This window comes from Homo sapiens, chromosome X (assembly GCF_000001405.40).
Source record: "Homo sapiens chromosome X, GRCh38.p14 Primary Assembly".
Lineage (NCBI taxonomy): Eukaryota > Metazoa > Chordata > Mammalia > Primates > Hominidae > Homo > Homo sapiens.
In genome coordinates, this window is record NC_000023.11 from 53,405,424 (window position 1) to 53,431,148 (window position 25,725).

The 25,725-nt window shown below is 47.8% G+C and overlaps 2 protein-coding genes and 1 non-coding gene across 8 annotated transcripts in view, besides 6 other annotated features; 1 reads left to right on the forward strand and 2 right to left on the reverse strand.

The window, feature by feature from the left end:
- SMC1A (structural maintenance of chromosomes 1A) overlaps window positions 1–17,305 on the reverse strand; it is a 48,580-nt gene extending 31,275 nt beyond the window's left edge. Inside the window, exons 1-12 of one of the 2 annotated variants that reach the window (NM_001281463.1) lie at window positions 17,069–17,305; window positions 16,472–16,617; window positions 9,558–9,746; window positions 9,335–9,447; window positions 7,809–8,012; window positions 7,477–7,715; window positions 6,572–6,830; window positions 6,338–6,478; window positions 3,998–4,080; window positions 3,639–3,846; window positions 348–533; window positions 70–249 (exon numbers count right to left, since the gene is read on the reverse strand). In NM_001281463.1, the coding sequence (NP_001268392.1) occupies window positions 70–249; window positions 348–533; window positions 3,639–3,846; window positions 3,998–4,080; window positions 6,338–6,478; window positions 6,572–6,830; window positions 7,477–7,715; window positions 7,809–8,012; window positions 9,335–9,447; window positions 9,558–9,746; window positions 16,472–16,514 (1,845 nt within the window). In that variant the 5' untranslated portion in view covers window positions 16,515–16,617; window positions 17,069–17,305. The remainder of the gene's footprint in view (window positions 1–69; window positions 250–347; window positions 534–3,638; window positions 3,847–3,997; window positions 4,081–6,337; window positions 6,479–6,571; window positions 6,831–7,476; window positions 7,716–7,808; window positions 8,013–9,334; window positions 9,448–9,557; window positions 9,747–16,471; window positions 16,618–17,068) is intronic. The other variant, NM_006306.4, reaches the window with a different exon arrangement.
- Window positions 250–342, reverse strand: MIR6857 (microRNA 6857). Its single transcript, NR_106916.1, has one exon. It is a non-coding gene; the product is annotated as a microRNA 6857 (primary transcript).
- Window positions 16,388–17,362: an enhancer, noted in NCBI's record as "H3K27ac hESC enhancer chrX:53448761-53449734 (GRCh37/hg19 assembly coordinates)". NCBI's record gives its function as "activates a minimal SCP1, AML or CMV promoter by ChIP-STARR-seq in naive and primed H9 embryonic stem cells {active_cell/tissue: H9 hESC(naive and primed)}" and the evidence as "EXISTENCE:reporter gene assay evidence [ECO:0000049][PMID:30033119]".
- Window positions 16,479–16,658: an enhancer, noted in NCBI's record as "active region_29659". NCBI's record gives its function as "activates an Ori minimal core promoter by ATAC-STARR-seq in GM12878 lymphoblastoid cells {active_cell/tissue: GM12878}" and the evidence as "EXISTENCE:reporter gene assay evidence [ECO:0000049][PMID:35858748]".
- Window positions 16,779–16,828: an enhancer, noted in NCBI's record as "active region_29660". NCBI's record gives its function as "activates an Ori minimal core promoter by ATAC-STARR-seq in GM12878 lymphoblastoid cells {active_cell/tissue: GM12878}" and the evidence as "EXISTENCE:reporter gene assay evidence [ECO:0000049][PMID:35858748]".
- Window positions 17,019–17,198: an enhancer, noted in NCBI's record as "active region_29661". NCBI's record gives its function as "activates an Ori minimal core promoter by ATAC-STARR-seq in GM12878 lymphoblastoid cells {active_cell/tissue: GM12878}" and the evidence as "EXISTENCE:reporter gene assay evidence [ECO:0000049][PMID:35858748]".
- Window positions 17,363–18,334: an enhancer, noted in NCBI's record as "H3K27ac hESC enhancer chrX:53449735-53450706 (GRCh37/hg19 assembly coordinates)". NCBI's record gives its function as "activates a minimal SCP1, AML or CMV promoter by ChIP-STARR-seq in primed H9 embryonic stem cells {active_cell/tissue: H9 hESC(primed)}" and the evidence as "EXISTENCE:reporter gene assay evidence [ECO:0000049][PMID:30033119]".
- Window positions 17,450–25,692, forward strand: RIBC1 (RIB43A domain with coiled-coils 1). Of its 5 annotated transcripts, none has more exons than XM_005261988.5 (8): window positions 17,450–17,715; window positions 17,891–17,979; window positions 20,854–20,970; window positions 22,580–22,661; window positions 22,860–23,204; window positions 24,431–24,549; window positions 24,973–25,367; window positions 25,484–25,692. In XM_005261988.5, exons 3-8 carry the CDS (start codon window positions 20,854–20,856, stop codon window positions 25,563–25,565), a joined length of 1,140 nt encoding a protein of 379 aa, XP_005262045.1. In that variant the 5' UTR covers window positions 17,450–17,715; window positions 17,891–17,979; the 3' UTR covers window positions 25,566–25,692. The 5 variants fall into 5 exon arrangements, with proteins under 5 accessions (XP_005262045.1, NP_001026915.1, XP_005262047.1 ...); NM_001031745.5 differs by having other exon boundaries at window positions 17,450–17,581; XM_005261990.5 differs by lacking the exon at window positions 22,860–23,204 and having other exon boundaries at window positions 17,450–17,581.
- Window positions 17,489–17,538: an enhancer, noted in NCBI's record as "active region_29662". NCBI's record gives its function as "activates an Ori minimal core promoter by ATAC-STARR-seq in GM12878 lymphoblastoid cells {active_cell/tissue: GM12878}" and the evidence as "EXISTENCE:reporter gene assay evidence [ECO:0000049][PMID:35858748]".

Genomic DNA, 25,725 nt, shown 5'->3' on the forward strand with positions numbered 1-25,725 from the left:
GAGAAGCTGAACAAATGAATCTCCAGTACTGAGCCTGTCCAGCTCCAGCCTGGGCAAGGGAATCCACACCTTGTGGCGCTGGTGGCCTCCAAAGGCAATGCGGCGGGCATCTTCCACGTTGTCACAGACAAGGGCATTGCCACAAGCATACTGCAGGGCCTTTTTGATATGAGGTGGCTCATAGCGAATCACATCAATCACTAGCTTGGCCCCCTTCAGCTCCCGGAGTTTCTCATCTGTAGGCTTCACCTGTGGGGAGAAGCTCAGTCAGTGGCAGAACACAAACAGGGAGTACTAGAGGAGGGGCCCTTGAACACTGGCCTGACCCAATCCCCAACAAGCCTCACCTCCAGGTAGTCAAGAGGCAAGAAGGTCTCAGGCTCCCCACGCTGCTCCTTGATATACTGAATACAGTCCCGGCCTGTCTTCTCCGAGTCCACAATAATGGCATCCATGTTCTTGCCCAAAACCTTGGTTACAGCAATCTGATACTTCTTTTGTGTGGGCTGGCATAGGTCAATGAGGCGGCCGTACTGAGTAAAGTAGGAAGGGAAAACTGAAGTATGAAGCTTTTGGAAGCTGGCTCAGGAATCCTAATTCCCAGTATGGAAAGGGGGACAGACTAGAATCTATATCAGGAAGTGAATGCAACTGTATTGCCTAGTGGTTAAGATAACCCAATACCAAGCATGGTAGTGTGTGTTTGTAATCCTAGCTACTTGGGAGGTTGCAATGGGAGGACAGCTTAAGCCCAGGAGTTCAAGACCAGCCTGGGCAACATAATGAGACCCTGTCTCAAAACAAACAAAAAAGACAGCCCACTAGTTCTGTACCCATGCAACCCTACCCTATCTGAATGAGACTGTATGGACTGAGGAGGAGGCAATTGCAGACTAGCTTGCTGTGTGCACTCCAGATCAGCACAGTGGCCAATCCTAACGTCCCTTTGAAAGGTGGAAAAGTTTGGGTAAGAGAAGGGAGGTAAAGAAATGAATAAATGAGTTATGTAATGAGGGAAACTCAGTATTACATTAACACCTCAAAAGAGGTTCAGAGCAAGAGATGATATTGTCTCTTAGCACAATTATCCCAGATGCCTGAAAGTATGAAGCTATGTTTGCCGAGAACACTCCTGGTTTTGGAACCTAACAAGATTGAATAGAAGCCTGCAAACCTGAATGGCCTCACCCTAGGAGACATTTTTACATGACATGATCATGGACTAGACTAATTATTAATTAATGACTCAGTGGGATTCTAGTAATGTGCCAGTATCTTTCTACTCTTTTTTGGAGACGGAGTCTCACTCTGTTGCCCACGCTGAAGTGCAGTGGCGCAATCTTGGCTCACTGCAACCTCCACCTCCCAGGTTCAAGTGATTCTCCTGCCTTAGCCTCCCGAGTAGCTGGGATTACAGGTGCCCGCCACCATGCCCGGCTAATTTTTGTATTTTTAGTAGAGACGGGGTTTCACCATGTTGGCCAGGCTGATCTCAAACCCCTGACCTCCGATGATCTGCCCGCCTCGGCCTCCCAAAGTGCGAGGATTACAGGCGTGAGCTACCGCTCCCAGCATCTTTCTATTTATTACATGATTGTTCTGATGTAAGGGATCTGTGTTTGAAGATCAAAGTGGACTGTGGTTTTATGAAATATATATTTAGTCTTCTACCCGTGAGTTCCTGACACACAACTCCTAAAACCCTTAGAATCTCAGGAATGAGCAGTGTCTTTTGTATGTTAATGAGATGATTATGGCTGGAGGCCCATAGATAGCTTCTGGATAGGGGCTGGTTACCAGAAAGACCAAGGCAGGATTAGATTTGGGACTCTTAGCTCCACCCCTACAACCTTCAGGAGGGGAGAGGGGCTGAAGGTTGAACTGATCACCGATGGCTGATGATCTGATCAATCATGACTACATAATGAAGCCCCTGTGTGGGGGTACCTGGAGGGTGGCTTGCCCAGATTGGGCATGGAAGCTTCACATCTCTTCTCCCATACCTTGCCTTATGCATCCATCTGGCTGTTCTCTGTATCCTTTGTAATATCCTTCATAATAAATGGGTAAACATAAGTAAAACATTTTCCTGAGTTCTGTGAGCTGCACTAGTAAATTAATCGAACCCAGGGAGGGATTCTCGGGAACTGTAATTTATAGCAGGTCAGTCAGAACCACAAGTCACAACCTGAGACTTGCAATTGGCACCTGAAGTCTTGGACTGAGCCCCTAACCCACAGGATCTGATGCTATCTCCAGATAAATAGTGTCAGAGCTGAAGTGAATTATAGGTCACCCAGCTGGTGTCTGCTGGAGAATTGCTTGGTGTGTGAGGAAAAACCCCCACACTTCTGGTGTCAGAAGTGAAGTGTTGTGCTGGTTGTGAGAGTAGAAAAAACACTTTGGTTTTTTCCTATCTCACAGAAGAACACAGCCCCCATGCTATCAAGGAAAAGCCTATTCTGGTTCCCAAGCAATGACTTCAGGCAGTCGTGTCTGAATCCAGAATCATCTTTCTAAACCTCACATCTACCATTTTACAGACCACCACCACCCAGGCACTATGCCAAGTATCTTATATATATTATTTCAAATTCTCACAAGCACTTAGCAAAATAAATCTGGCTGGGCGTGGTGACTCACGCCTGTAACCCTACCACTTTGGGAGGCCGAGGCGGGCAGATCACTTGAGGTCAGGAGTTTAAAACCAGCCTGGCCAACATGGTGAAACCCCGTCTCTACTAAAAATACAAAAAAATTAGTTGGGCATGGCGGCGAGCACCTGTAATCTCAGCTACTTGGGAGGCTGAGGCAGGAGAATCACTTGAGCCTAGGAGGCAGAGATTGCAGTGAGCCGAGGTTGTGCCACTGCACTCCAGCCTGGGCGACAGAGCGAGACTCCATCTCAAAATCAATCAATCAATCAATCAATCTCTTCTACCAGTTCCCTTCCTGCAGCCTCCAAAACCAAGCCTGGTTCCCTAAGAACTATCAGATTAAGGGGGCAGGGACTGACTCTAACCATACTTATCTCCCCAGCAGTGTCTAGAGAAGTGATAGGGAAATATTAGTGGAACCAAACTAAGTTGAACCCAGGTATGGGATAATATTCAGGGAACCTGGGAACTCAGGATTTGGTGAAAGAGGCCAAAAGATCAAGAGATCTGATAAAGCTCAGGGTGTCCCTAAAAGCTACTGGACCAGTTAATACATGCCAAGGGAGCCCCTTTATAAGACTGCACAGAGCTACTTCCTGGGAGAGTAATTCCAGCCCCATGGCCCCACCTGCTTCCAAAATCTTTCCTGGTTTTCCAATTCCCCTCCCAGAGGCATAGACATAGCAAGACAAAACCTTCAGAAAGACGCAATTGGTATGATGAAAAGAACATGATTGCCTAGTATGACAGGTTGAAAAATAAAAAAAAAAAAAAAAAAAAAAGAACATGAGCTCAGGAGAACAAGTTGGGTTTGAACTGCAGTTCTTCCTCTTAGAAGCGGTGCTTTTTTAAACCTCTCCGAGCCTCATTTCCCCCAACAATAAAAATGGGATTGGCAACCCTGTCCTTACAGGGCTGCTGGGAAAATCGTGTGACAGTGAGTGTAAGTGCTCAGGAAATGAGTTCCCTCTCTGCTCTTACCACAGAGCCAGGGTAAAGGCGCTTGATGCTTTCCATTATCTCTGCCTTTCGCTGCTGGCGGCTGCTCTCCTGGCGGTCGATGCGGGCATCCCCTAGCTGCTCCATCACCTGGTTCAGCTCCTTATTGATTTCATCAATACGCCGCTTGGCCATCTCCACCTCCTCTGTCAGCTCCCCCTCTAGCTTCTTCTGCTCTTCTAGGGACTGCCTACAAAGTGAGGGCACACAGGAGTTACTCCTGCTGGTGAGAAAATACTCCTGGCTCAGAGAGCTCTGGGGGTCCTGCATGAAGAGGGGCATGTAGGTAGGGTCACAAGAACAGGCCTGGAAGTAAGGGGGACAGATGCAGAGCTACATACTTGCTAGTGGTGATGTATTCCTCCAGTTTCTCAATCCGCTTCTGATTCTCTTCAATTTCCCGCAGCTTTTGCTTGATCTTGGCCTGGGAAACAAACATTCCATCATCAGGGGCTGCACGAGTTTACGCCAAGACCATGGGGGCTCTAGATCACACCCTTTATGTGCCCACTCATCCAAGAGCCGAACAGTCCAGGACAATCTGTCACTAATATAGGAGGCCTACTAAAAAGCAGACATAGATGGTGTTCGGTTTGATCTACTAACTAATGATGGGGGCCTCCCAGAGCTCCAGAACCTCTCATAGGTGTTCTACCCAGCCAAGGCATCTTCTTCACCAACCATGGAGGCTCAAATCAAGATAAAGCTTCACAGGCCTTTCTGTACCTGTTTCCTCATCTGCAAAATGTGGGTAATCTCCACTGCATAGAATACACATTAAGTGCTTAATATAGGGTTGTTATTAATATTAATGACTATCACATTATTTTTAAAAAATTTTTATTATTTTTTAAAATTTGAGACAGGGTCTCACTGTGTTGCTCAGGCTGATCTCAAACTCCTGGCCTCAAGTGATCCACCACGCCTGGCCAACATTCTTTTAAATATTTAAAAGTGCTTAGCAGAATGCCTGAACACTGTACACTCCTGGGACACTATGACAACTTTCTATCATTGCTGTTATTACAATATTGATATCAGGGAGGCAGTAAGTAAAGTATATTTGGTAAGAGTGTGGGCTTTAGAGCTACAATGCCCAGGGTCTGGTTCTGATACTTAATAGTTATGTGAGTGGCCGGGCACGGTGGCTCGCGCCTGTAATCCCAACACTTTGGGAGGCCAAGGCAGGCTGATCGCAGAGGCAGGCAGGAGTTTAAGACCAGCCTGGGCAACAAGCAGAAACCCTGACTCTATAAAAATTAAAAAATTAGGAGGCCGAGGCGGGCGGATCACTTGAGTTCGGAAGTTCAAGACCAGCCTGGTCAACATGGTGAAATCCCATCTCTACTAAAACTACAAAAAATTTAGCCAGGTGTGGTGGCACCCACCTGTCATCCCACCTACACGGGTGGCTGAGACACAAGAATCACTGGAACCGGGCTGGGTGCGTTGGCTCACACCTGTAATCCCAGCACTTTAGGAGGCCAAGGCGGGTGGATCACCTGAGGTCAGGAGTTCGAGACCAGCCTGACCAACAAGGTGAAACCCCGTCTCCACTAAAAATACAAAAATTAGCCGGGAATGGTGGCTGGTGCCTGTAATCTCAGCTACTTGGGGAGGCTGAGGCAGGAGAATTGCTTGAACTTGGGAGACAGAGGTTGTAGTGAGCCGAGATGGCACCATTGCACTCCAGCCTGGGCAACAAGAGAGAAACTGCGTCTCAAAAAACAATAAAAATAAAAATAAAAAAATAAAAAGAATCACTTGAACCCGACAGGCAGAGGTTGCAGTGAGCTGAGATCATGCCACTGCACTCCAGCCTGGGCAACAGAGTGAGGCTTTGTCTCAAAAAAAAAAAAAAAAAAAGTAGCCAGGCATGGTGGCAAGCACAAGTAATGCTGGATACTCAGGAGGCTCTGGTTGGAAGATTGCTTAAGCCTGGGAAGTCGAAGCTGCAGTGAGCCATGGTCGCACCACTGCACCTCAGCCTGCATGACAGAGAAAGACTCTGTCTCAAAAATAACAATAATCTTGTGACCTTAGGCAAATTACTCTGTGTTGTAATTTCCTCATTCATAAAATAGGGTAATAGTAGCCATTCCATAAAGATAATAATAAATGAAGAATTAAATGAGTGGATACATGTAAAGAACATTGCCTATCATACAGTAAGTGCTCAACAGATGTGAGCTACTGTCATTATCATTGTCATTATCATTAAGATTATCATGGCCAGGCGCAGTGGCTCAAGCCTGTAATCCCAGCACTTTGGGAGGCCGAAGTGGGTGGATCACAAGGTCAGGAGCTCGAGACCAGCCTGGCCAACGTAGTGAAACCCTGTCTCTACTAAAAATACAAAAATTAGTTGGACATGGTGGCGCACGCCTGTAGTCCCAGCTACTCAGGAGGCTGAGGCAGGAGAATTGCTTGAACCCGGGAGGCAAAGGTTGTGGTGAGCTGAGATCACATCACTGCACTCCAGCCTGGGCAAGAGCGAAACTCTGTCTCAAAAAAACAAAAAAACAAAAAAAAAGACTATCATTACAGGTTGGGTAACTCTAATCCAAAATGCTTAGGACCGGAAACGTTTCAGATTTTGGATTATTTTGGATTTGGGATGCTCAACCTATATATATCCTTTTCTGTGGACCATCATCCCTAATCTTATAACTATAGCCCACCTCTGTCTCTACTTTCTTCCGTTCTTCCAGATCCAGACGGTCCTGGTCAGCTTTCTGGTCTCGATTGAATTTCTCCAGCTCCTGGGCCAGGGTAGCTGCTCTCTTGCTGGCTTCTTCTTTCAACCGGTGGTATTTCTTCACCTGTGTTAGGGACAGGGAAGGAGAACAGGGATGACCAAGTCAGCAGATGTCAGCCCAGGGATCTCCTCCCTGCCAACCCCTTCCAGAGCTTACCTGATTCTCCTCCAACGTCAAATCTCTGCCCTGACTCTGACTCTCTTCTTCCATCCGTTCTTCAAACTCCTGCCGAGCCTTCTCCACTGACAGCATCTCCTTCTCCAGCTCATCCATGTCACCTTTACGCTTCTTGTAGTGCTTCTGAGCATTCTGCAGAGACTTCTTGGCTGCTTCCAGCTTCTTGATTTTGTGGGAGGTGTTCTCCTTGGCTTTGATGTACTGAGGCCGCTTCTGGTTCAATTCTGAGTCCTTCTCCCTTTTGCCAGAGGGGTGGGGGAAACCAGTGAGAACTATGGAAGAAGGGAGGGTTCCCAGGCTTTTCACCCAAAGGAGAGCTTGAGCCCCTGAGCCAACCTCAGGGAATTACTTAAAAGAACATGGGCGTAATGCCCCACAGATCCTGAAAAAAAGGGGCAGTCTGACTACTCCCTGAAAGGTATGACTTCAGCCTGGCATTCCAGCCACTCCATAAGGCAAAGCTACCAACTCTGCCTCAACCCTGGCCAGGAAGCTCATTAACAACTCCCAAGAACATCCTGTATTTACTTAGTTGGCCCCTCAAATTCCTATCCTTTAAACTTCTAGCTTCAGTTTCCTCTTCTAGGAAGGCCTTCTCAGCCACTCCATTGGCTCGGCCTCACATTGGTTCCTCTTTCTTGGCAAGGCCACCACCCCTTTTGAGTTCTCCCTCATCTGAGCACCTGTCTACCCAGGGCCTGAGTGCTTAAATATTCTATTTGTCTAAACTGCAAGTCAAGAAATGTGCCTGGTTCTTACAAAAGCAAGTTAGGAGAATAACAGAGAAATGAGTATAGGTACTGAACTCCGGGCTCAGAGGAACCCTAATAAACAGCACGGCCTCTTGGTTTCCCACAAGTTGCAGGCCCAGGTCTGCCTCTTACTTGATCTCCTTCTCAATCTGCTGCTGCTCCCGCATCATTTTGCCCAGCTCCTTCTTCTTCTCCTTCAGTTCATCCTCCACCTTGTCCATACGCTTCTTGTCCTTCTCGATCTCCTTGTTCTTTGAGGCCAGTTCCTTGTTGAGCTTCTCAATTTCCACTTCATTATGGTAAAGCTTAAAGAGCTGCAGCTGTACCTGAGCCCGTACTACCTCATCCTTCAGGCGCTGGTACCGGTCAGCCTGTGCAAACAGGGGAATGGTGGCAGGGGTGCATCGATAAGGCACTGGCTCCATCCTGGTCCCTCAGAGCCAAGAGGTAGCTTGGCCACCTACCTCTTCTTTCTCCTGCTTTGCTTCCTTGCGTTCAGCCGCAATATTTTTCTTGCGATGGTAATTAAACTGTGTGTCCTCTTCAGCCTTCACCATTTCCTTCTTTCGCTTGTCATACTCCTGCGCCAGCTCCCCAGAACGACTAATCTCTTCAAATAGAGCTGTCCTCTCTTTGGGGTTCTTCATGGCAATAGATTCCACAGCACCCTAGTAAAGGTCGAAACACTCTTCCACTTCAGACCCCAGCCAACCCAGTTCACCTTACCCATTTCCACTCCTTCACCCAGAAAAAGTTACCAACTTTCTCTCCCATGCCCCTGCTGCCACATTTCACACTGGGCTTTGAGGACAAATTCCTTGCCCTCTGAGGAGCACAGGGAGCCAAAGGGACAAAGACAACAAAGTGTTATGTGCAGTAACAGAAGCAGCATAGGAAAAGGACAAAATGAAGCTTGGGGGTAGGAGACTGATAGGGATATCTATCTCAGAAGGCTTCCCAAAGGTGACATCTGTGCTGAGTTTGGAAGCTGGAGGGAAACTAACCAAGAAAATAAAAGAAAAAAGGTGGCCGGGCGCGGTGGCTCACACCTGTAATCCCAGCACTTTGGGAGGCTGAGGCAGGCAGATCACCTGAGATCAGGAGTTCAAGACCAGCCTAGCCAAAATGGTAAAACTCCATCTCTACCCAAAATACAAAAATTAGCCAGGCATGGCGGCGGGCGCCTGTAGTCCCAGCTACTTGGGAGGCTGAGGCAGGAGAATCACTTGAACCCTGGAGACGGAGGTTGCAGTGAGCCAAGGTCGTGCCACTGCACTCCAGCCTAGGTGACAAGCGAAACTCCGTCTCAAAAAAAAAAAAAAAAAACAAGAACAAAAAACAAACAAACAAAAAAAACAGAGAAAAAGTTATTCTATGAAGAGGAAAAGTAATATGCAAAGACCTGTAGGCCAAAGAAAGCAGGTGAATTTGCAGAACCATAAATGGTTTAAGTAGGCTGGAGTGCAAGGCTGGAGAAGAACATGCAGATGGTATTTGGATTTTGATGATGGTGTTTCCTAAATGATAGGCTTAGGAGTTTGGATCTCATCCTAAGGCAATAGTTCTCAAATTTCGGCCGACATCATAATAAACTGGAGAGCTTGGTAAAACACAAACTGCTGTGCCCCACTCCACAGTTTCTTCCAAGTCAGGAAGTCTAGGATAGGGCCTGAGAATGTGCATTTTCTAACATGTTACCAGGTAATGCTGATACTGCTGGTCTGGAGACTACAGTTTAAGAACCACCATTGTAAGGCAATACGGAATCACTGAAATGTTTTAAGGAAAAAAGGGAGGGGAAACAAAACAAATGTGTGTCCTCATAAGATGAACCTGGCTCAGGGGCCAGACTGAAGTTGGGAAGCTCAGTGAACAAGGTGCTACATTAGTTCAAGGGAGAGATGATAAAGCCTGAGATGGAGCAGACAGAGTGGGGATGGGACATGGTCTGGCAAAAACCAGATAGCCAATAACTGTTAAAAACGCCCACCTGGAAAACGAGGAAGTTACGAGCTTTGATGAGAATGCCCAACTTCTCTAATTCCTCACTGTACTCATGTAGTTGGACCACTTTGTTGTTGATCTTGTACTCAGAAGAACCTCCTACAAGACAATGCATGAGTTGGCAAGGGTCAGGCCTCCTTCCTGTCCCAATCAACTAGTCTAGCCACCTCCCAGGACCCAAGGAGAGCTTTCTGGCCAGCCTCACCCACCTACAATGACACGGGCAAAGGTACGGTCCTCAGCACCCTCCTCAGAGTAGACCATGCTGACAAAGGCCCGGTTGGCAGCTGGCTTGCCCACAGGAGCTCCATGGATCAGGTCCCGCAGGGTCTTTACCCGCAGGTTGCTGGTTTTTTCACCTAGCACAAAGCTGATGGCATCCATGAGATTTGACTTACCTAAGGGAAGAGGGACGAGGCAGTAGAGGGAAAGTCAGGATGAAGAGGAGAGGAAAAGGAATAAAGATATTGAGATGAACAAAAATGTCCCCTAATCACTCAGTACTCAGACTAATGGGAAGAGAGACTACTCCTCTGTCCCCATAAAGACTGAGCACAACCAAACCTCTGGGTCAAAGGCTTAGGAAAAACAGTCCTTTTGCAGTTACTATATAGCAGCCAGAAGCTAGAACCCAGGATAAGCGTAGTGACTCACACCTGTAATCCCAGCACTTTGGGATGCCGAGGCAGGAAGATCGCTTGAGGCCAGGAGTTTGAAACCAGCTTGGACAACAAGGCAAAACCCAGTCTCTACAAAAACTTTAAAAATTAGCTGGGCATGAGCTACTCGGGAGGCTGAGGCAGGAGAATTCCTTGAACCTGGGAGGCGGAGGTTGCAGTGAGCCGAGATCGTGCCACTGCACTCTAGCCTGGGCGACAGAGCGAGACTCCATCTCAAAAAAAAAAAAAAAAAATTAGCTGGGCATAGTGGCATGCGCCTGTAGTCTCAGCTACTCAGAAGGCTGAGGAGGGAGGATCGCTTGAGCTCAAGAGTTCAAAGCTGCATGAGCTATGATGACACCACTGCACTCCAGCCTGGGTGACAGAACAAGACTCTCTTTAAAAAAATAGTGAAAAAAAAAAAAAAAGAGGAAAGAATAGTTTAAAAAAAGAAGCTAGAACCCAATCTAAAGAAATGGTATATTCACAGAATGGATAGTTTTACAACCTTTAATGACATGGACAAAAGCCCACAATAGGTGAAACAAACAAGACACAAAACTCAACGATGTTAAAATAATATAAAGTGGGCCGGGCATGGTGGCTCACGCCTGTAATCCCAGCACTTTGGGAGGCTGAGGCAGGTGGATCACCTGAGGTCAGGAGTTCAAGACCAGCCTGACCAATATGGTGAAACCCTGTCTCTACTAAAAAATACAAAACTTAGCTGGGCGTGGTGGCGGGCGCCTGTAATCCCAGCTACTTGGAAGGCTGAGGCAGGAGAATCGCTTGAACCTGGGAGGTGGAGGCTGCAGTGAGCCAAGATCGTGCCACTGCACTCCAGCCTGGGCAACAGAGTAAGACTCCATCTCAAAAAAAAAAAATAAAATAAAATAAAATAATAATAATAATAATAATGTAAAGTAAAATTTAAAAATAGGCTGGGAGGAGGGGAAAATGGGAGGTTTTTTTTTCTTTTGAGATGGAGTCTTGCTCTGTTGCCAGGCTGGAGTGCAGTGGCGTGATCTCAGCTCACCACAACCTCCGACTCCCTGGTTCAAGGGATTCTCCCACCTCAGCCTCCCGAATAGCTGGGATTACAGGCACACATCACCACACCCAGCTAACTTTCTGTATTTTTAGTAGAGACAGGGTTTCACCATGTTGGCCAGGATGGTCTCGATCTTCTGACCTTGTGATTCGCCCACCTCGGCCTCCCAAAGTGCTGGGATTACAGGCATGAGCCACCACGCCTGGCCTGGGAGTTGTTTTTTAATGGGCATAGATTTTCATTTTTGCAAGATGAAAAAGTTCTAGAGATCGTTTGCACAAAAACGTGAATATATTTAACACTACTGAACTGCACACTTAAAAATGGTTAATTTAGGAAATTTTATGTGTATTTTACCACCATCTAAAAAAAGTGCATATTCCTGTTGTGAAACAATATGAAACACACAGCATCATTTATGATGTATCTTACCAAAAATATTTAACCTGAATCTATTTTTTTCCTTTTTTTAATTTTTTGTTATAATAAAGACAAGGTCTCGCTGTGTTGCCCAGGCTAGTCTTGAACTCCTGGCCTCAAGTGATCCTCCCGCCGTGGCCTCCCAAAGTGCTGGGATTACAGGCATGAGCCACCATATCCAGCCTAATCTGAATCTAAACAAGCCTTCAGACTTATCTTCCAGTTCCTAGGAAATACAGCAATACAATATAGAGGAACATAGTAAGGTTTTCATGAGGAAATCTTAACACAAACACAGAATGTGGGATGTTCTCAAAGACAAATGGCCTGGTCTTTTCAAAAAGTCAGTGTCTAAAAAGAAAGGGTGAGCCGGGCACGGTGGCTCACGCCTGTTATCCCAGCACTTTGGGTGGCCGAGGCGGGCGGATCACCTGAGGTTGGGGAGTTCCAGACCAGCCTGACTAACATGGAGAAACCTCGTCTCTACTAAAAATACAAAATTAGCTGGGCATGGTGGCACATGCCTGTAATCCCAGCTACTCAGGAGGCTGAGGCAGGAGACTCGCTTGAACCTGGGAGGCAAAGGTTGCGGTGAGCCAAGATCACGCCATTGCACTCCAGCCTGGGCAACAAGAGCAAAACTCCATCTCAAAAAAAAAAAAAAAAAAAAAGTGAGCGAACCATTCCAAAACATGAGAGATTTCTGAGACATAGGTAAACAGTGCACAAACTTTGACTGGACTCTGGTTCCAAAATAACAAAAAGACATTTGGGGAGCAAGTTAAGGAAGCTTAAATATAAACTGGATAATTGATGACATGAGGAAATTTTCTTAGTTGTGATAACTGAATAGTGGTAGTACAGGAGAATGATGATTTTAAGAGGTGAATGCTGAAGCACTTAGGGGTGAAATGTAATTGAGTCTGTAATTTACTTCCAAATGACTAAGTAATGCACATATATGCTTGCAAATTTTCATAATAAAACTTGGGAGAAGAGAAGGCATAGGAAACAAATATATGAAAACGTAAACAGTGCAGCAGTGATTGCCTCTGAAAAGGAAACTAAGCAGCTAGGGTCAAGGGAGTCTTCTTTTTACTACTGTATATCCTTAAGGATTTTTAAAATTGTATACCATGTACATGTACCAGCTATTCAAATAAATAAGGTTTTCAACATTAACAGTGGCTATCTTTTCAGTAGTGGAGTTACAGCTTTTACTTTGTTCATTTTAGAATCCGAAAACAAAAAAGGTTTCATTTACTTATTTTATTTATTTTTTGAGATGGAGTCTCGCTCTATCGCCCACGCTAGATTGCACCTACCAAGTTCAAGTGATTCTCCTGCCTCAGTCTCCTGAATAGCTGGGACGACAAGCGTGTGCCACCACACCTAGTTAATTTTTGTATTTTTAGTAGAGATGGGGTTTCATCATGTTAGCCAGGCTGGTCTCGAATTCCTGACCTCAAGTGATCCACCCACCTCGGTCTCCTAAAGTGCTGGGATTACAGGCATAAGCTACCACGCCCAGACCTTATTCATTTATTTATTGAGACAGGGTCTGACTCTGTCACCCAGGCTGGAGTGCAGTAGCAGTATCACAGCTCTCTGCAGCCTTGACCTCCTTGGCTCAAGTGATCCTCCTGTCTCAGCCTCCCAAGTAGCGGGAAGCATGGGCATAAGCCACCATGCCCAGCTAGTTTTTGGATTTTTGCAGAAGCAGGGTCTCCCTATGTTGCCTAGGCTGGTCTCAAACTCCTGAGCTCCAGAGATCCTCCACCTTGGACTCCCAAAGTGCTGGGGTTACAGGCATGAGCCACCGTTCCTGGCCAAAAAATAGATATTGTTTTAAAAGTTTAGGCCGGGTGCAGTGGCTCATGACTGTAATCCCAGCACTTTGAAAGGCCGAGGCAGGCGGATCACCTGAGGTCAGGAGTTTGAGACCAGCCTGGCCAACATGGTGAAACCCCGTCCCTACTAAAAATACAAAAATTAGCCAGGCACGGTTGTGTGCCTATAATCCCAGCTACTCGGGAGGCTGAGGCACGAGAATCGCTTAAACCCAGGAGGTGGAGGTTACAGTGAGCTGAGATCGCGCCACTGCACTCCAACCTGGGCGACAGAGAGAGACTCTGTCTCAAAAAAAAAAAAAAAAAAAAAAAAGTTTAGTCGGGCTGGTGGATAAGGAGGAACAGTTTAGTCTCTATAATTTCTATCTCAAGACTGTCCCTAAAGAACTTATATATGACTTTGAACTGAAGATCTGATTTCCAACACCTTTCTACTCAGCCATAAAAACAGCAGCCCAAGTCCTTCCATAGAGACGGTATAAGACTATGATTAGGTTGGACACGGCATCTCACGCCTGTAATCCCAGCACTCTGGGAAGCAGACGTGGGTGGATCACTTGACCTCGGGAGTTTGAGACCAGCCTGGACAACATGGCAAAATCCCATCTCTACAAAAAATACAAAAATTGGCTCGGCATGGTGGCACACTCCAGTTGTCCTGACTACTGGGAAGGCTGAGATGGGAGGGTTGCTTGAGCCCGAGAAGTTGAGGCTGCAGTGAGCCATGATTGTGCCACTGTATGCCAGCCTTGGTGACAGAGCAAGACCCTGACTCCAAAAAAAAAAAAAATAGGCCAGGCGCGGTGGCTCACACCTGTAATCGCAGCACTTTGGGAGGCCCAGGTGGGCAGATCACGGGGTCAGGAGTTTGAGACCAGCCTGAACAACGTGGTGAAACCCCGTCTCTACTAAAAATACAAAAACTGGCCGGGCATAGTGGTGCACGCCTGTAATCCCAGCTCCTCAGGAGGCTGAGGCAGGAGAATAGCTTGAACCCGGGAGGCAGAGGTTGCAGTGAGCTGAGATCACGCCACTGCACTCCAGCCTGGGCGACAGAGAAAGACTTCATCTCAAAAAAAAAAAAAAGAAAAAAAAGAAAAGAATCACTTGAACCCAGCAGGCAGAAGTTGCAGTGAGCCGAGGTCATGCCACTGCACTCCAGTGTGGGCGTCAGAGTGAGACTCCATCTAAAAAAGCTTGCAAACTTGGGCTTAGAACCAACAGACCAGGTTCTAATCTTACTTTCACTACCACTTAGCTGACCTTCCATTCCCTCACCTGGAAAAAGATGAAAAAAACCACAATTCACGGGTCTAAAAATATGTGCGGCACATACTTCTCTATTGGAGTGGCAGGAGCACAGGCATGGGTTCTGAGAACCACGGACAAGTTATCACACCTCTGTGCCTTAGTCTCCTCATGTATAAAACGAAGCTATTGGCATTTTCCTCCTAGGGTCATTTTGAGAATTTAATTGTAAAGGGTCCCTTGGCTGGGTGCAGTGGCTCATGCCTGTAATCCCAGCACTTTGGGAGGCTGAGGCAGGCAGATCACTTGAGCCCAGGAGTTTGAGACCAGCCTGGCCAACTGGGAGAAACACCAACTCTACTAAAAATACAAGAACTAGCCAGATGGGGTGGCGCACGCCTGTAGTCCCAGCTACTTGGGAGGCTGAGGCACGAGAATCACTTGAACCCAAGAGGCAGAGGTTGCAGTGAGCCAACATCATGCCACTGCACTCCAGCCTGGACAACAGAGCAAGACTGTCTCAAAAAAAAAAAAAAAGAAAAGAAAAAGAAAAAGAAAAAACAGGGTCCCAATAAATAAAGTACTTGACACACAGAGTAGGTACTCAATTAATTAGTCCTATCCTAAGTCTGGACTCAGCTGTCTCCCTCATCACAGCAGGACTAGCACATCATGCAGACCAGGAGTCAGCCTTTTAGGAACCAATATCCAACCTTTGGGCTTCTCCCATCATTTCCAGGGAGGACAACATCATCTCACAACCCCAAGCCTCTCTAATCACAATCAATATGGTAAACATTTTTGTAATATATATTATGGACTGAACACCAGTAAAACGTTTCAAGGAATGTCTGCTTTAGGGTACTCACAGGCCAATGAAGATACAAAAACATGCACCATCAATATAGGACTTAATAAACATTAACGTGTACCAAGTGTCTACGGTATGCCACAGAGGAAGACTCACTCACCAAAGGGACTAAAGGAATGGCTTGTAGAGGTGGGCCTTGAAGAACGGGGGCAAGTGGGGGAGTGCCATAGCCCTTTTCAGAACAGCTGGGAATACAAATCTACTAATGCTGAGGGGACTGAATGCCAAGAGGTACATCCTAGCTCTTCCAACAGGGGCCACTACACTAAAACCCGAGGAAACTGGGTGGACACCAAGCATTAGCCCTCCAGGCCAGTGGTTCTCAAACAAGTTGGGGGGTTGGGGGAATCACACACACCCTCTGTGACATCTAGCAATGTCTAGAGACAGTTTTGATTGTCATGCCTGGGGAGCAGGGGTGCTACTGTTATCTAGCAGGTAGATGCCAGAGATGCTGTTAAACATCCTACAATGCACAGAGCACATCCCACAGCAAAGGATTATCTCGCTGGAAATGTCAATAGTGCCACTGTTGAGACACTCAGTCTCCAGGAAAGGTACTCAGTATGTGCTACTTCAGCAAGGGCAGCCTCTTAGGCTAGGATATCATTCAGCTAGAACATCTCTGGGGTGGAAGAATACAGCAGGATTCCAAATGGACATCTGAGGTGAGAGGAATCCACGGTGTATCGTTTAGAGTTGGGAAGACACAAAATAGAGGCTTTACCTGACCACCCTTTCTAAAGACACCACCTAAGTCACTTTATCACATCCACCTGTCTCATTTCCTGTATAGCACTTATGACAGCCTAAAACCATCTTATTTTCTCCTTATCTTCTTTCCCCTCTGGAATATAAGTTCCCTGTGAGCATGGAGTTGGTTTATTCTATTCTCCGCTGTTTCCACAACTTGCAACTGAATAACTCCTGATAAACAATAAGCATTCAACAAATTTGGTAAATTAGTTAATTTCGGCTTTTGACGGTTTCGGTGGTAGGAAAAGGGCGAGTTCGAGGCAACTACCTCTGACATAGCGGTGGGGGGTGGGGATCGACACCTCAAGCATTCTAAAGACTGGAGCGCTGGGTCTGAAATTCAAAAGTGCCGCCTCCAGAGAAGAGTAGAAAGGAGTTGGAGTGTACCAATGCGAGGCGAGAGAGGACGCTGGGCTGAAACAGAAGTGCACCGTTTGGGACCGAAGGCCACGGGAGAGCTACCAGCGTCCCCACATTCTCCGGAGGGGGTCAAGTAAGGCTGGGAAGCCGGCTCCGGCCGGTCCGGCGGGGAGCCGCGCGGCGGAGGACTGAGCTGGCGGGAAGCTGGTTCCAGACGCGACTCCTTTGGCGGGAGGGGGAAGTAGGCGGGGTAACTGGCAGCTCGGCCTGTACCACTGGGCCGGGGCGGGGGCCGCGCAGGAAGCGGCAAGTGACACCTGGAAGGGGTTCGAGTTAGAGCACCCGCGCGGGGAGAGTGGGTTCGAGCAGAACCCCCTCTGGACGGGCAAGGAACCCGTAAGGGTCCGCGACGTTTCAGGTTACATGGGCTGGGTTGTACTACTCCGGCACCGGATAAGGGGTCCAGGCCGGGACGTGCGCAGGGCCGCGGCCAGGTTTATCTCACCAGAGCCATTGGGTCCAATGATGGCGGTGAACCTCTGAAATGGTCCGATAATCTGTCGACCCTTGTACGACTTAAAGTTCTCAATCTCAATCAGTTTCAGGAACCCCATGACGGCCGCGGCGCCGGCGGCAGTAGGACAGGCCGCGCCGTACGCCCGAGAACTGAGGTAGCCCGCGCGGGAAACGCCGCAGTGCAAGCCGGGCGACCGGCAAATGTCGCGAGAATACGTCCAGGCCTAACGGGATTTTCGCCTTCCGGCAGGAGTGGGACCAGGGGCGGGGACTGATGTTGCGTATACGAGGAGCGAGCTGACGACTGGCGTGGTGCCTCCGCCCCCCTTTCTTGTTGCATGGCAACAACAAACACTTGCTCCTGCGGACCAGATCCCCGGAGGAGTTGTTGCTGGGCGGAGTCAGAGCAGTTCTTGAGGTTCAAGGAGGCGGGGGAGACCTGAGCTCACGCTTGCTGAGACAGAAGTCACAGCAGGATTATGCCCCTCAGGGCAAGAGGAAGGTGGGAGCTCGGCTGTGGCTTTAGCCTGGCCAGCTTTCAAGGCTAGGACAAGGACAGGGTCGGGAATTGGAAGGACCCGGGGGGAGCGGAGAGCTGGACGGGAAGGAGGGGCCAACGGGAGGATTCAGTGTTAGGTGAGCTCAGACTTTGCTAATGGTGGGGTGGGATTGGTGGCGGGACGGGTTGCGAAGGCGGACGGGTTGTGAATGGGACTGGGGCTACTCCCAGGCAACAGGGATACAGGCTGGGGAAGGCTACGGCCTGAGATACTACCCCTATCCCCTGCCTCCCTCCTGTTGTACCAAGCAGAGTTCAGAAACTGCCGCCGTAACCCAAGAACAAAGTTGCATGCAGAGCCAACCTAAGAGCTTCAAAATCGGGATTCCTTACTGAGAAAGGTATTTTGTGTGAACCCCCAGGAGTCAGGGTCCCTAAGCCAGCGCTCTCCACCTCCACCTACCTCTGCCTCCATGCCTCTCCCCCATCCCATTCCCACAGCTCTATACCACAATGCCACCTTACCTCTCTTCCCTCTCTGCTCTCTATCATTAATAAGGCAGGGGCCTTAGCAATCCAAGAAGCTTAAAATGTCAGCTGAATCTTCCCCTTCAGTGACCTTATACTGTAATGGCAGGTGAAACCAGTAGGTAAGTTGGTGCCATTCTCAGACTTAAACATGGAAAGGATCTGGTGGTTGCCATAATTATTCCTTTAACTATTTATTAAATTATGTCCGAAGGCTAGAAAGAGTCCTAAAGACTTAGGACAAGTCCAGGAAAGTGAGGAAGTGGCTGGGCATGGTGGCTGACAACTGTAATCCCATCGTGAGGGAGGCAGGCCAAGGCAGGAGGATCACTTGAGACCAGCAGTTCAAGACCAGCCTGGGCAACATAGTGAGACCCTATCTCTACTAAAAATTAAAAAATTAGCTGGGTGTGGCAGCTCTCACCTCTGGTCTACCCAGGATGCCGAAGCAGGAGGATCACTTGAGCCTGGGAGGTTGAGGCTGTAGTGAGTGGTGTCCGCACCACTTCACTCCAGCCTAGGTGACAGAGCAATACCCTGTCTCAAAAATAAATAAAGGGAGGAAGCTTGGTAGATGGAATCTAGTAGGGGAGCCATAAATGAAGTTCAGCTGGGAGAAACAATCAGGCTGAGGGGATAAAATGGCTAAAAGACAGCAATCTCATGTAATCCATGGGGAAATACTGTTCCCTTTTAAAAGATGAGATGGTGAGCCTGGGTAACATAGCAAAACCCAATCTCTACAAAAAAATTTTAAAAATTAGGCAGGCATGGTGGCACACACCTGTAGTCCCAGCTACTCAGGAGGCTGGGGCAGGAAGATCCTTTGAGCCCAGGAGTTTGAGGCTGCAGTGAGCCATGATTGCACCACTACACTCCATCCTGGGCAACAGAGAGAGACCCCATCTAAAACAAATTAAAAATAAAATAAATTTTATTCTCTGCCTCAGCCTTCCAAGTAGCTAGGATTACAGGTGCCCACTGCCACGCCTGGCTAATTTTTTTGTATTTTTAGTAAAGACAGGGTTTCACTATGTTGGCCAGGCTGGTCTTGAACTCCTGACCTCCTGATCCACCTGCCTCGGCCTCCCAAAGTGCTGGGATTACAGGCGTGAGCCACCGCGCCCGGCCAAAAATAAAATAAAATTTTAAATTTAAAAAAGATGAGATGGCACTTGGGGGGAAAATTAAATTGGATCCTTATCTCACACCATACACAAAATGCAACTCCAAGTGGATTAAAAACCTAAGTGACGCCGGGCACAATGGCTCATGCCTGTAATACCAGCACTTTGGGAGGCCGAGGCAGGAGAATTGCTTGAGTTCAAGACTAGCTTGGGCAATATAGTGAGACCCCATCTATATTAAAAAAAATTAAATGGGGCCAGGTGTGGTGGCTCATGCCTGTAATCCCAGCACTTTGGGAGGCCAAGGAGGGTGGATCATAAGGTCAGGAGATTGAGACTATCCTGGCTAACACTGTGAAACCCCATCTCTACTAAAAATACAAAAATCAGCCGGGCATATATGTTCAACTACTTCACAGTTACAAAATGGAAAACAAAACAAAACACCAAAAAGATCCAAATAGCTATAGGAGGAATTAAAGAATCACGCTCCAAACAAAGGAACAGCACATACAAAGGCCCCGGGGTGGGAACAATTACTGTGTTGGAGGACTTGATCAGCTTGCCTGGAGCACTGTAAGCAAGGGAGACAGTGGTTTGAGACAAATTGGAGAGGTGTGCAGGAACTAGATCTTGAAAGCCCACAGTAAGGAGTTTGGATCTGATTCTAAGTATAGTGGGAAGCTAGTGGAGGATTTAAGCAGGTGAGAGACATGATCAGATTTATGTTTGCTAAAGTTTTTTTGGCTGCAGCTTTGGCTGGGTTACATGCCAAAAGTGAGCTTCCCAAAATATGAAGGAACACAGGCAAATTTAGCTTTCTAGCCTTTCATTTGACCAGAAAATAAGTAATAAAAGTAAAAAAAAAAAAAAAAAAAAAAAAAAGGGTGGGGGGACATATATTTCAGAAAAGAAAGCTGCTTCTGGTTTCTGTGATTGGGCTATAGGAGTCAATAGAGGAAGCTGGAATACCAACATGGAGACAGTTGTGGTTATTCAGGAAGCTGGCAATGGTGGCTTGGATAAGGGTTATTTTGAAAGAAGAAGGAGTGAGGGAAAGGAAGGATTAAAGGATGTCTCCTAGGTTTTTGACCGGAGCAACTTGGTGAATGGTGGTGCCACTTACTGAAATAAGGAAAACTGAATAGAGTATAATGAAAAAGGAGTGTTGTAGATGTGTTTGAGGCTTAGAAAGGTGAGCAGGGGTCAGATCATGAAGAACCTTATAAATCTGGCAAAGGGGGTTGGGCCTTATAAGCACTGGGGAGCCATTGCTTTAAAGGTGCTTTCAAAGGCTTTACGCTGAGGAGTGCCATGGTCAGATTTGCTTCCCAAAGATCACTCTGGTAGCCAGTGCAGAGAAATCCAGTGCAGAGAGGGTAACGTTGGAGCAAGAGAACCCAGTGGGGCTCCTGAGATACTGCCTGACACCAGATTGTGAGGCCTGAATTAAGCTGGTGACAGCAGAGATGGAGGGCACAGATACGAAATATATCAGGAAGTAAAATCAGTAGGAATCAATAACTGCTGAAATATTATAGGGAGAAAGGAATGGGGGTGGCGTGTAGTCAAAGACGGTGGTCGGCACTGATGGGCCATTCCACCTCCCTTTTGCTCCAGATGTATAACATAAAACAGTCAACAGATACCAAGGAAGCAGCAGCCATCGAGGCTAGAAGAAATCGAGAAAAAGAGCGACAAAACCGATTCTTCAATGTGCGGAACCGAGTCATGGGGGTGAGTGGGTAGTAGGGACTGTTGCTCAGGATCAGGGCCACCTCACTCTTACACCTGGAGAGGAATGTGTAACAGTGCCCATGATAGCCCTTCCCCTGATTCAAGTAGGCCCCTAGGGCAGGAAAGGAAAGAGAGGGAGAGAAGGCACCCACCCCTACAGGCCTGGGAAGAGCTTGGGAAGAGGGATAGGTCAGTGCAGGGGAAGAGACTAGGGGAGACGGCTGACCCTTCTCCAGTCAGCTCTGGGCCATGTGACCTGGTTCTTGAGACAGGCAACATGGAGCTAAAAGAGGCCTAAAGAATATTTGGAGTCCGGGTGCAGTGGCTTACACCTGTAATCCCAGCACTTTAGGAGGCTGAGGTGAGCAGATCACACAAGGTCAGGAGTTAAAGACCAGCCTGGCCAACGTGGTGAAACCCTGTCTCTACTGAAAATACAAAAATTAGCTGGGCGTGGTTGTGCATGCCTATAATCCCAGCTACTTGGGAGGCTGAAGCACAAGAATCACTTGAATCCAGGAGGAGCAGGTTACAGTGAGCCGAGATCACACCATTGCACTCCAGCCTGAGCAACAGTGAGACCCTGTCTCAAAATTACTGCATATACCTAAACTATCTCTGCAAGGCTATGTTGAGAAACTTAACCAGGCTGAGAGACAGAGATGGAAGGGACACTTACGCCTCACTAAACTGTATTCCTTTTTGTATGATTTTGAAATGTGATAAATGAATTATAATAAAAGAGAAAATATTGATAGTTTAAGAAACAAAAGATTGCTAGGTGAGTGGATAGAGGGGGGATGCAGCATGGTATTCTGGAAAAGACCCCGTAAGTATTTAAGGCCAGGTCTGCTGACTGTTATGTGTGTGGCTTTGGATAAATCACCTGTCTTCTCTGAGCCCCAGGCTCCTCTTCTGTAAAATGAGGCTGAAGGAAGTCAGGTGAGTGTTAACACAGAGTGGCAGCTTTGAAAACCAGTGCATAGTGCCTGCCGTAAGAAGTTGGCTAGGGTATTAGTGTTCTGATTGAGATCCAGCTGACAAGCTGACAAGCATTTCCTCGGGGCCTGCTCTGTGCCAAGCACTGTGTTGGGCAGTGGGGATACGAAAATGACTAAGGCCCAGTTTCTGCCCTGAAAGGGTTCACAGTCTGGTGGAGGAGAGAATACAGAGAGGCGAACATCAATATAATGTAGACAGTGGGTTCTAGATTCTACAGGAGTAGAACCTGCCTGAGGGGTCAGGAAAGTGAAGGCTGAGCTGGTCTCGAAGGACAAATTGGAATTTGTGTAAAGAGGGGAGGAAAGTGTTCCAAGTGGAGGGAGCAGCTTGAGCAAAGGCTATTGGTTCAAAACAGCCTAAGATATTCAGGGAACTGTAAGCACAGCTCATAAGGGTAAGGTGGGACTAAGAGATGAGGCCAGAGAAGGAGGCAGAGGCTAGACCATGGAGAGGCTTACAAACCATGCTCAGGAGCTAGAACTTTATCCAGTAGGTACTGGGGAGCTACAGGATTCTGAAACAGGTAAATTCTAATTAGTTTGTGGTAGGACATTGAAGGCCCCCTGCTGGGCCCCTACTCTGATTGTGCTCCTTTCTTTGGGATCAGGTGGATGTCCAGGCCCTGAACAACCAGGTGGGAGACCGAAAGCGTCGGGAAGCAGCAGAAAGAAGCAAGGAGGCAGCTTATGGTAAAAGCCAAAAGCCAGGGGCCAGACAAGGGTGTAAAGAAAGAGCTCGAGTGGGCTGAGGTAGGGCAGTTCTGCCTCTGTGGCCTGAGGCCCTGGGGTGGTGGGACAAATTGGATGGACCTTGAGAGTAGAGGACATGCTAAGTGGACTCTGTCCCTCCTGGGGTATCTTCTCCATATCCTTGCTCACCACCCCCAGGTACCAGCCAGGTGCAGTATGATGTGGTAGTCCAGATGTTAGAGAAGGAAGAGGCAGATCGAACACGTCAGCTGGCCAAGAAAGTCCAGGAGTTTCGGGAGCAGAAGCAGCAGCTCAAGAACGGGCGTGAATTTAGTCTTTGGGATCCAGGCCAAGTCTGGAAGGGGCTTCCAACCTATCTTAGTTACAGTAATACCTATCCTGGTCCAGCCAGCCTGCAGTACTTCTCTGGGGAAGACCTAGACAGGGACACACGGCTGAGAATGCAGCAGGGGCAGTTCAGGTACAACTTGGAAAGGCAACAGCAGGAGCAACAGCAAGCCAAGGTTGATGAGAATTATACAGGTAAGCAGCCCGGCCCTCCAGACTCAGAGACCTGAGGCCTAGTGGGGATCTGTCCTAAGCTGAGTACAGCAGCCAGGGGACCAGAACTGTGTGGGGAGGTCCACTTATCCATAGGGTTGGTGCTGAAATGTTAGGTTGTGCAGACCCCAACCTCCCTGACTTCCTTCAGTAACTGACAGTGTAGCATTGTTCTTGATTAGTTTGGCACTCCATTACGTGGAGGCAGCACAGTGCAGACAGACCTAATGGCTCTGCCACTTACTAGCTGGTTTGGGCAAATGAATTTTCCCTTCTGTGCTTCAGTTTCTTCATCTTTAAAATGAGAATAATAATTTATACCACATAGAGTAGCTACTATTATGATATTGTCTGTGGCCACATCCTTCTCTTCCATTAGAAGAAGCCCTTCAAGGGCAAGGACCATGTCTTATCTACTTGCACTGTTCACCCTTCACATCAACCCTGTTACAGCACTCTGTTCTGCTGGACCACTTATTGTAGTTGTAGCTAATTGTGAAAGTATTTGTTTAATATCTGTCTTCTCCCTAAAATGTCAGCCTACTGAAGATGAACCATCTCTTTCATGTCTACCCATCTCCCAGTTGCATAGTACAGTGTCTGACAGGTCTTAGGAACAGCAAGGAGCTCAGTGTGGCTGGAGCAGAAAAAAATTGTCAGTACCTTTGCTCATGCCATGCCCTCAGCCTGGAATGCCCTTTGCTCTTTTAGCCTGTATACAAAATGTATTTCAAGGATCACCTCTTCCTGGAAGCCTTCCTCTTTTCCACCATCCAAAACCCTCTTAATACCCTGTGTACATCCCTGCCATTGCTCTTGCCAGATTGTGGTCTATGTTTGATCTGTGTCCCCAACTAGACAGGGAGTTCTCTGAGGACAGGATTTAATTCGATGGTATCATTAGAACCCAGCACATGGCCCTTAGACTGAGATTCAGAGATATGAAATGATTTACCCAAAATCACACAGCTCAGAAGCAGCAGAACTGACATTGGGACCCAGGTCCATTGGAGGCATCTTTTAGTTATGCGCTTGAGAAATCGTTGTTGCTGCACCTAGTTCCTTCCACATCCCTACAACTCGGACACTAACCCCCTCCTAAACATTCGTACACACACAAACACAAAACTTGCTGAACAAATGGCTGGATGAGTGAAACAGGAATGGAGCAAGCCAGTACAGTACCCCGGCCATATTTCTCTGTGTAGATGCGCTCAGTAACCAGCTGCGCCTCGCCATGGATGCACAGGCCACCCATCTGGCCAGGCTGGAGGAGTCCTGTCGTGCGGCCATGATGTGTGCCATGGCCAACGCCAACAAAGCGCAGGTATGGCCTGAGCCATGCAGTACCTTGGGCTCTCCCCAACTCCTGAACAAAATCCTGGAGAACCTTAGCCATATTCTTCCTCTTACATCCCCTCTTAAATCAGCATCAGCCCTCTCATCTGAGTACTCCCCCTTCACTGAAGGCCCCTCTTAGGGTACAAGTCACTTCTCCCCACCTCCAGAAGCAGGATGACTTGAGAATAGAACATTGCCCTCTCATCCTCCGCTTCCCAGTCTAAAGGCTTCCTGAAGGCAGAGAAGTTCCCTGCCCATTCTCCCCAACACATATTAGGGGCATTGAAAGGCCATGCAGTATCTGTTCTTTCTCCTTGAGATGGAAGAGTAGGGCCATGTTCCCCCCTCCCCTGTGACAGAGTTCCCTGAGGTTGGGCACCCAAATGTTTGCATTTGGGGGCTCCACCAGGCAGCTGTGCAGGCTGGGCGTCAGCGCTGTGAGCGTCAGCGTGAACAGAAGGCCAACCTTGCGGAGATCCAGCACCAGAGCACGAGTGACCTACTGACTGAAAACCCCCAGGTCGCCCAACACCCTATGGCTCCCTACCGGGTCCTGCCCTATTGCTGGAAGGGCATGACTCCAGAGCAGCAAGCTGCCATCAGGAAAGAGCAGGAAGTACAACGCTCTAAGAAGCAAGCACACCGTCAGGCTGAGAAAACACTGGATACTGAATGGAAAAGCCAGACCATGAGCTCAGCCCAGGCAGTGCTGGAGCTAGAAGAGCAGGAGAGGGAATTGTGTGCTGTATTTCAAAGGGGTCTAGGATCCTTCAACCAGCAGCTGGCTAATGAGCAAAAAGCCCAGTGAGTTCTAGGTGGTAGTGGTGGAGATAAATGCCAAGGGAGGGAGAGGAGGGATGGTGAGGAACCATGGAGAGAGGGAAAGCATGTCAGCTGAGACCTCTGGACTTCTTTCACAGGCAGGATTACCTGAATTCAGTAATCTACACCAATCAACCTACAGCCCAGTATCACCAGCAGTTTAACACCAGCAGCCGCTAAGTTCAGGATGTCTATCTCTCTCTCCCTTCTCCTCCATCAAGCTCACAGGTGGTTAGGAGTCAAAGAGAAAAATGCTGCATACTCCCACCTTCTAACCTAGGTAATAAAGTTCTGCACTCAAAATCAAGTCCACATGTTGTAACAGGACACAAAGTATTAT

Coding starts and splice junctions, on each gene's coding strand:
- RIBC1 (XM_005261988.5), top strand. CDS start 20,854: ATGTATAACATAAAACAGTCAACAGATACCAAGGAAGCAGCAGCCATC. Junction 22,662..22,859: donor AAGCAAGGAGGCAGCTTATG/GTAAAAGCCAAA, acceptor CACCACCCCCAG/GTACCAGCCAGGTGCAGTAT. Junction 24,550..24,972: donor CCAACGCCAACAAAGCGCAG/GTATGGCCTGAG, acceptor GGGCTCCACCAG/GCAGCTGTGCAGGCTGGGCG.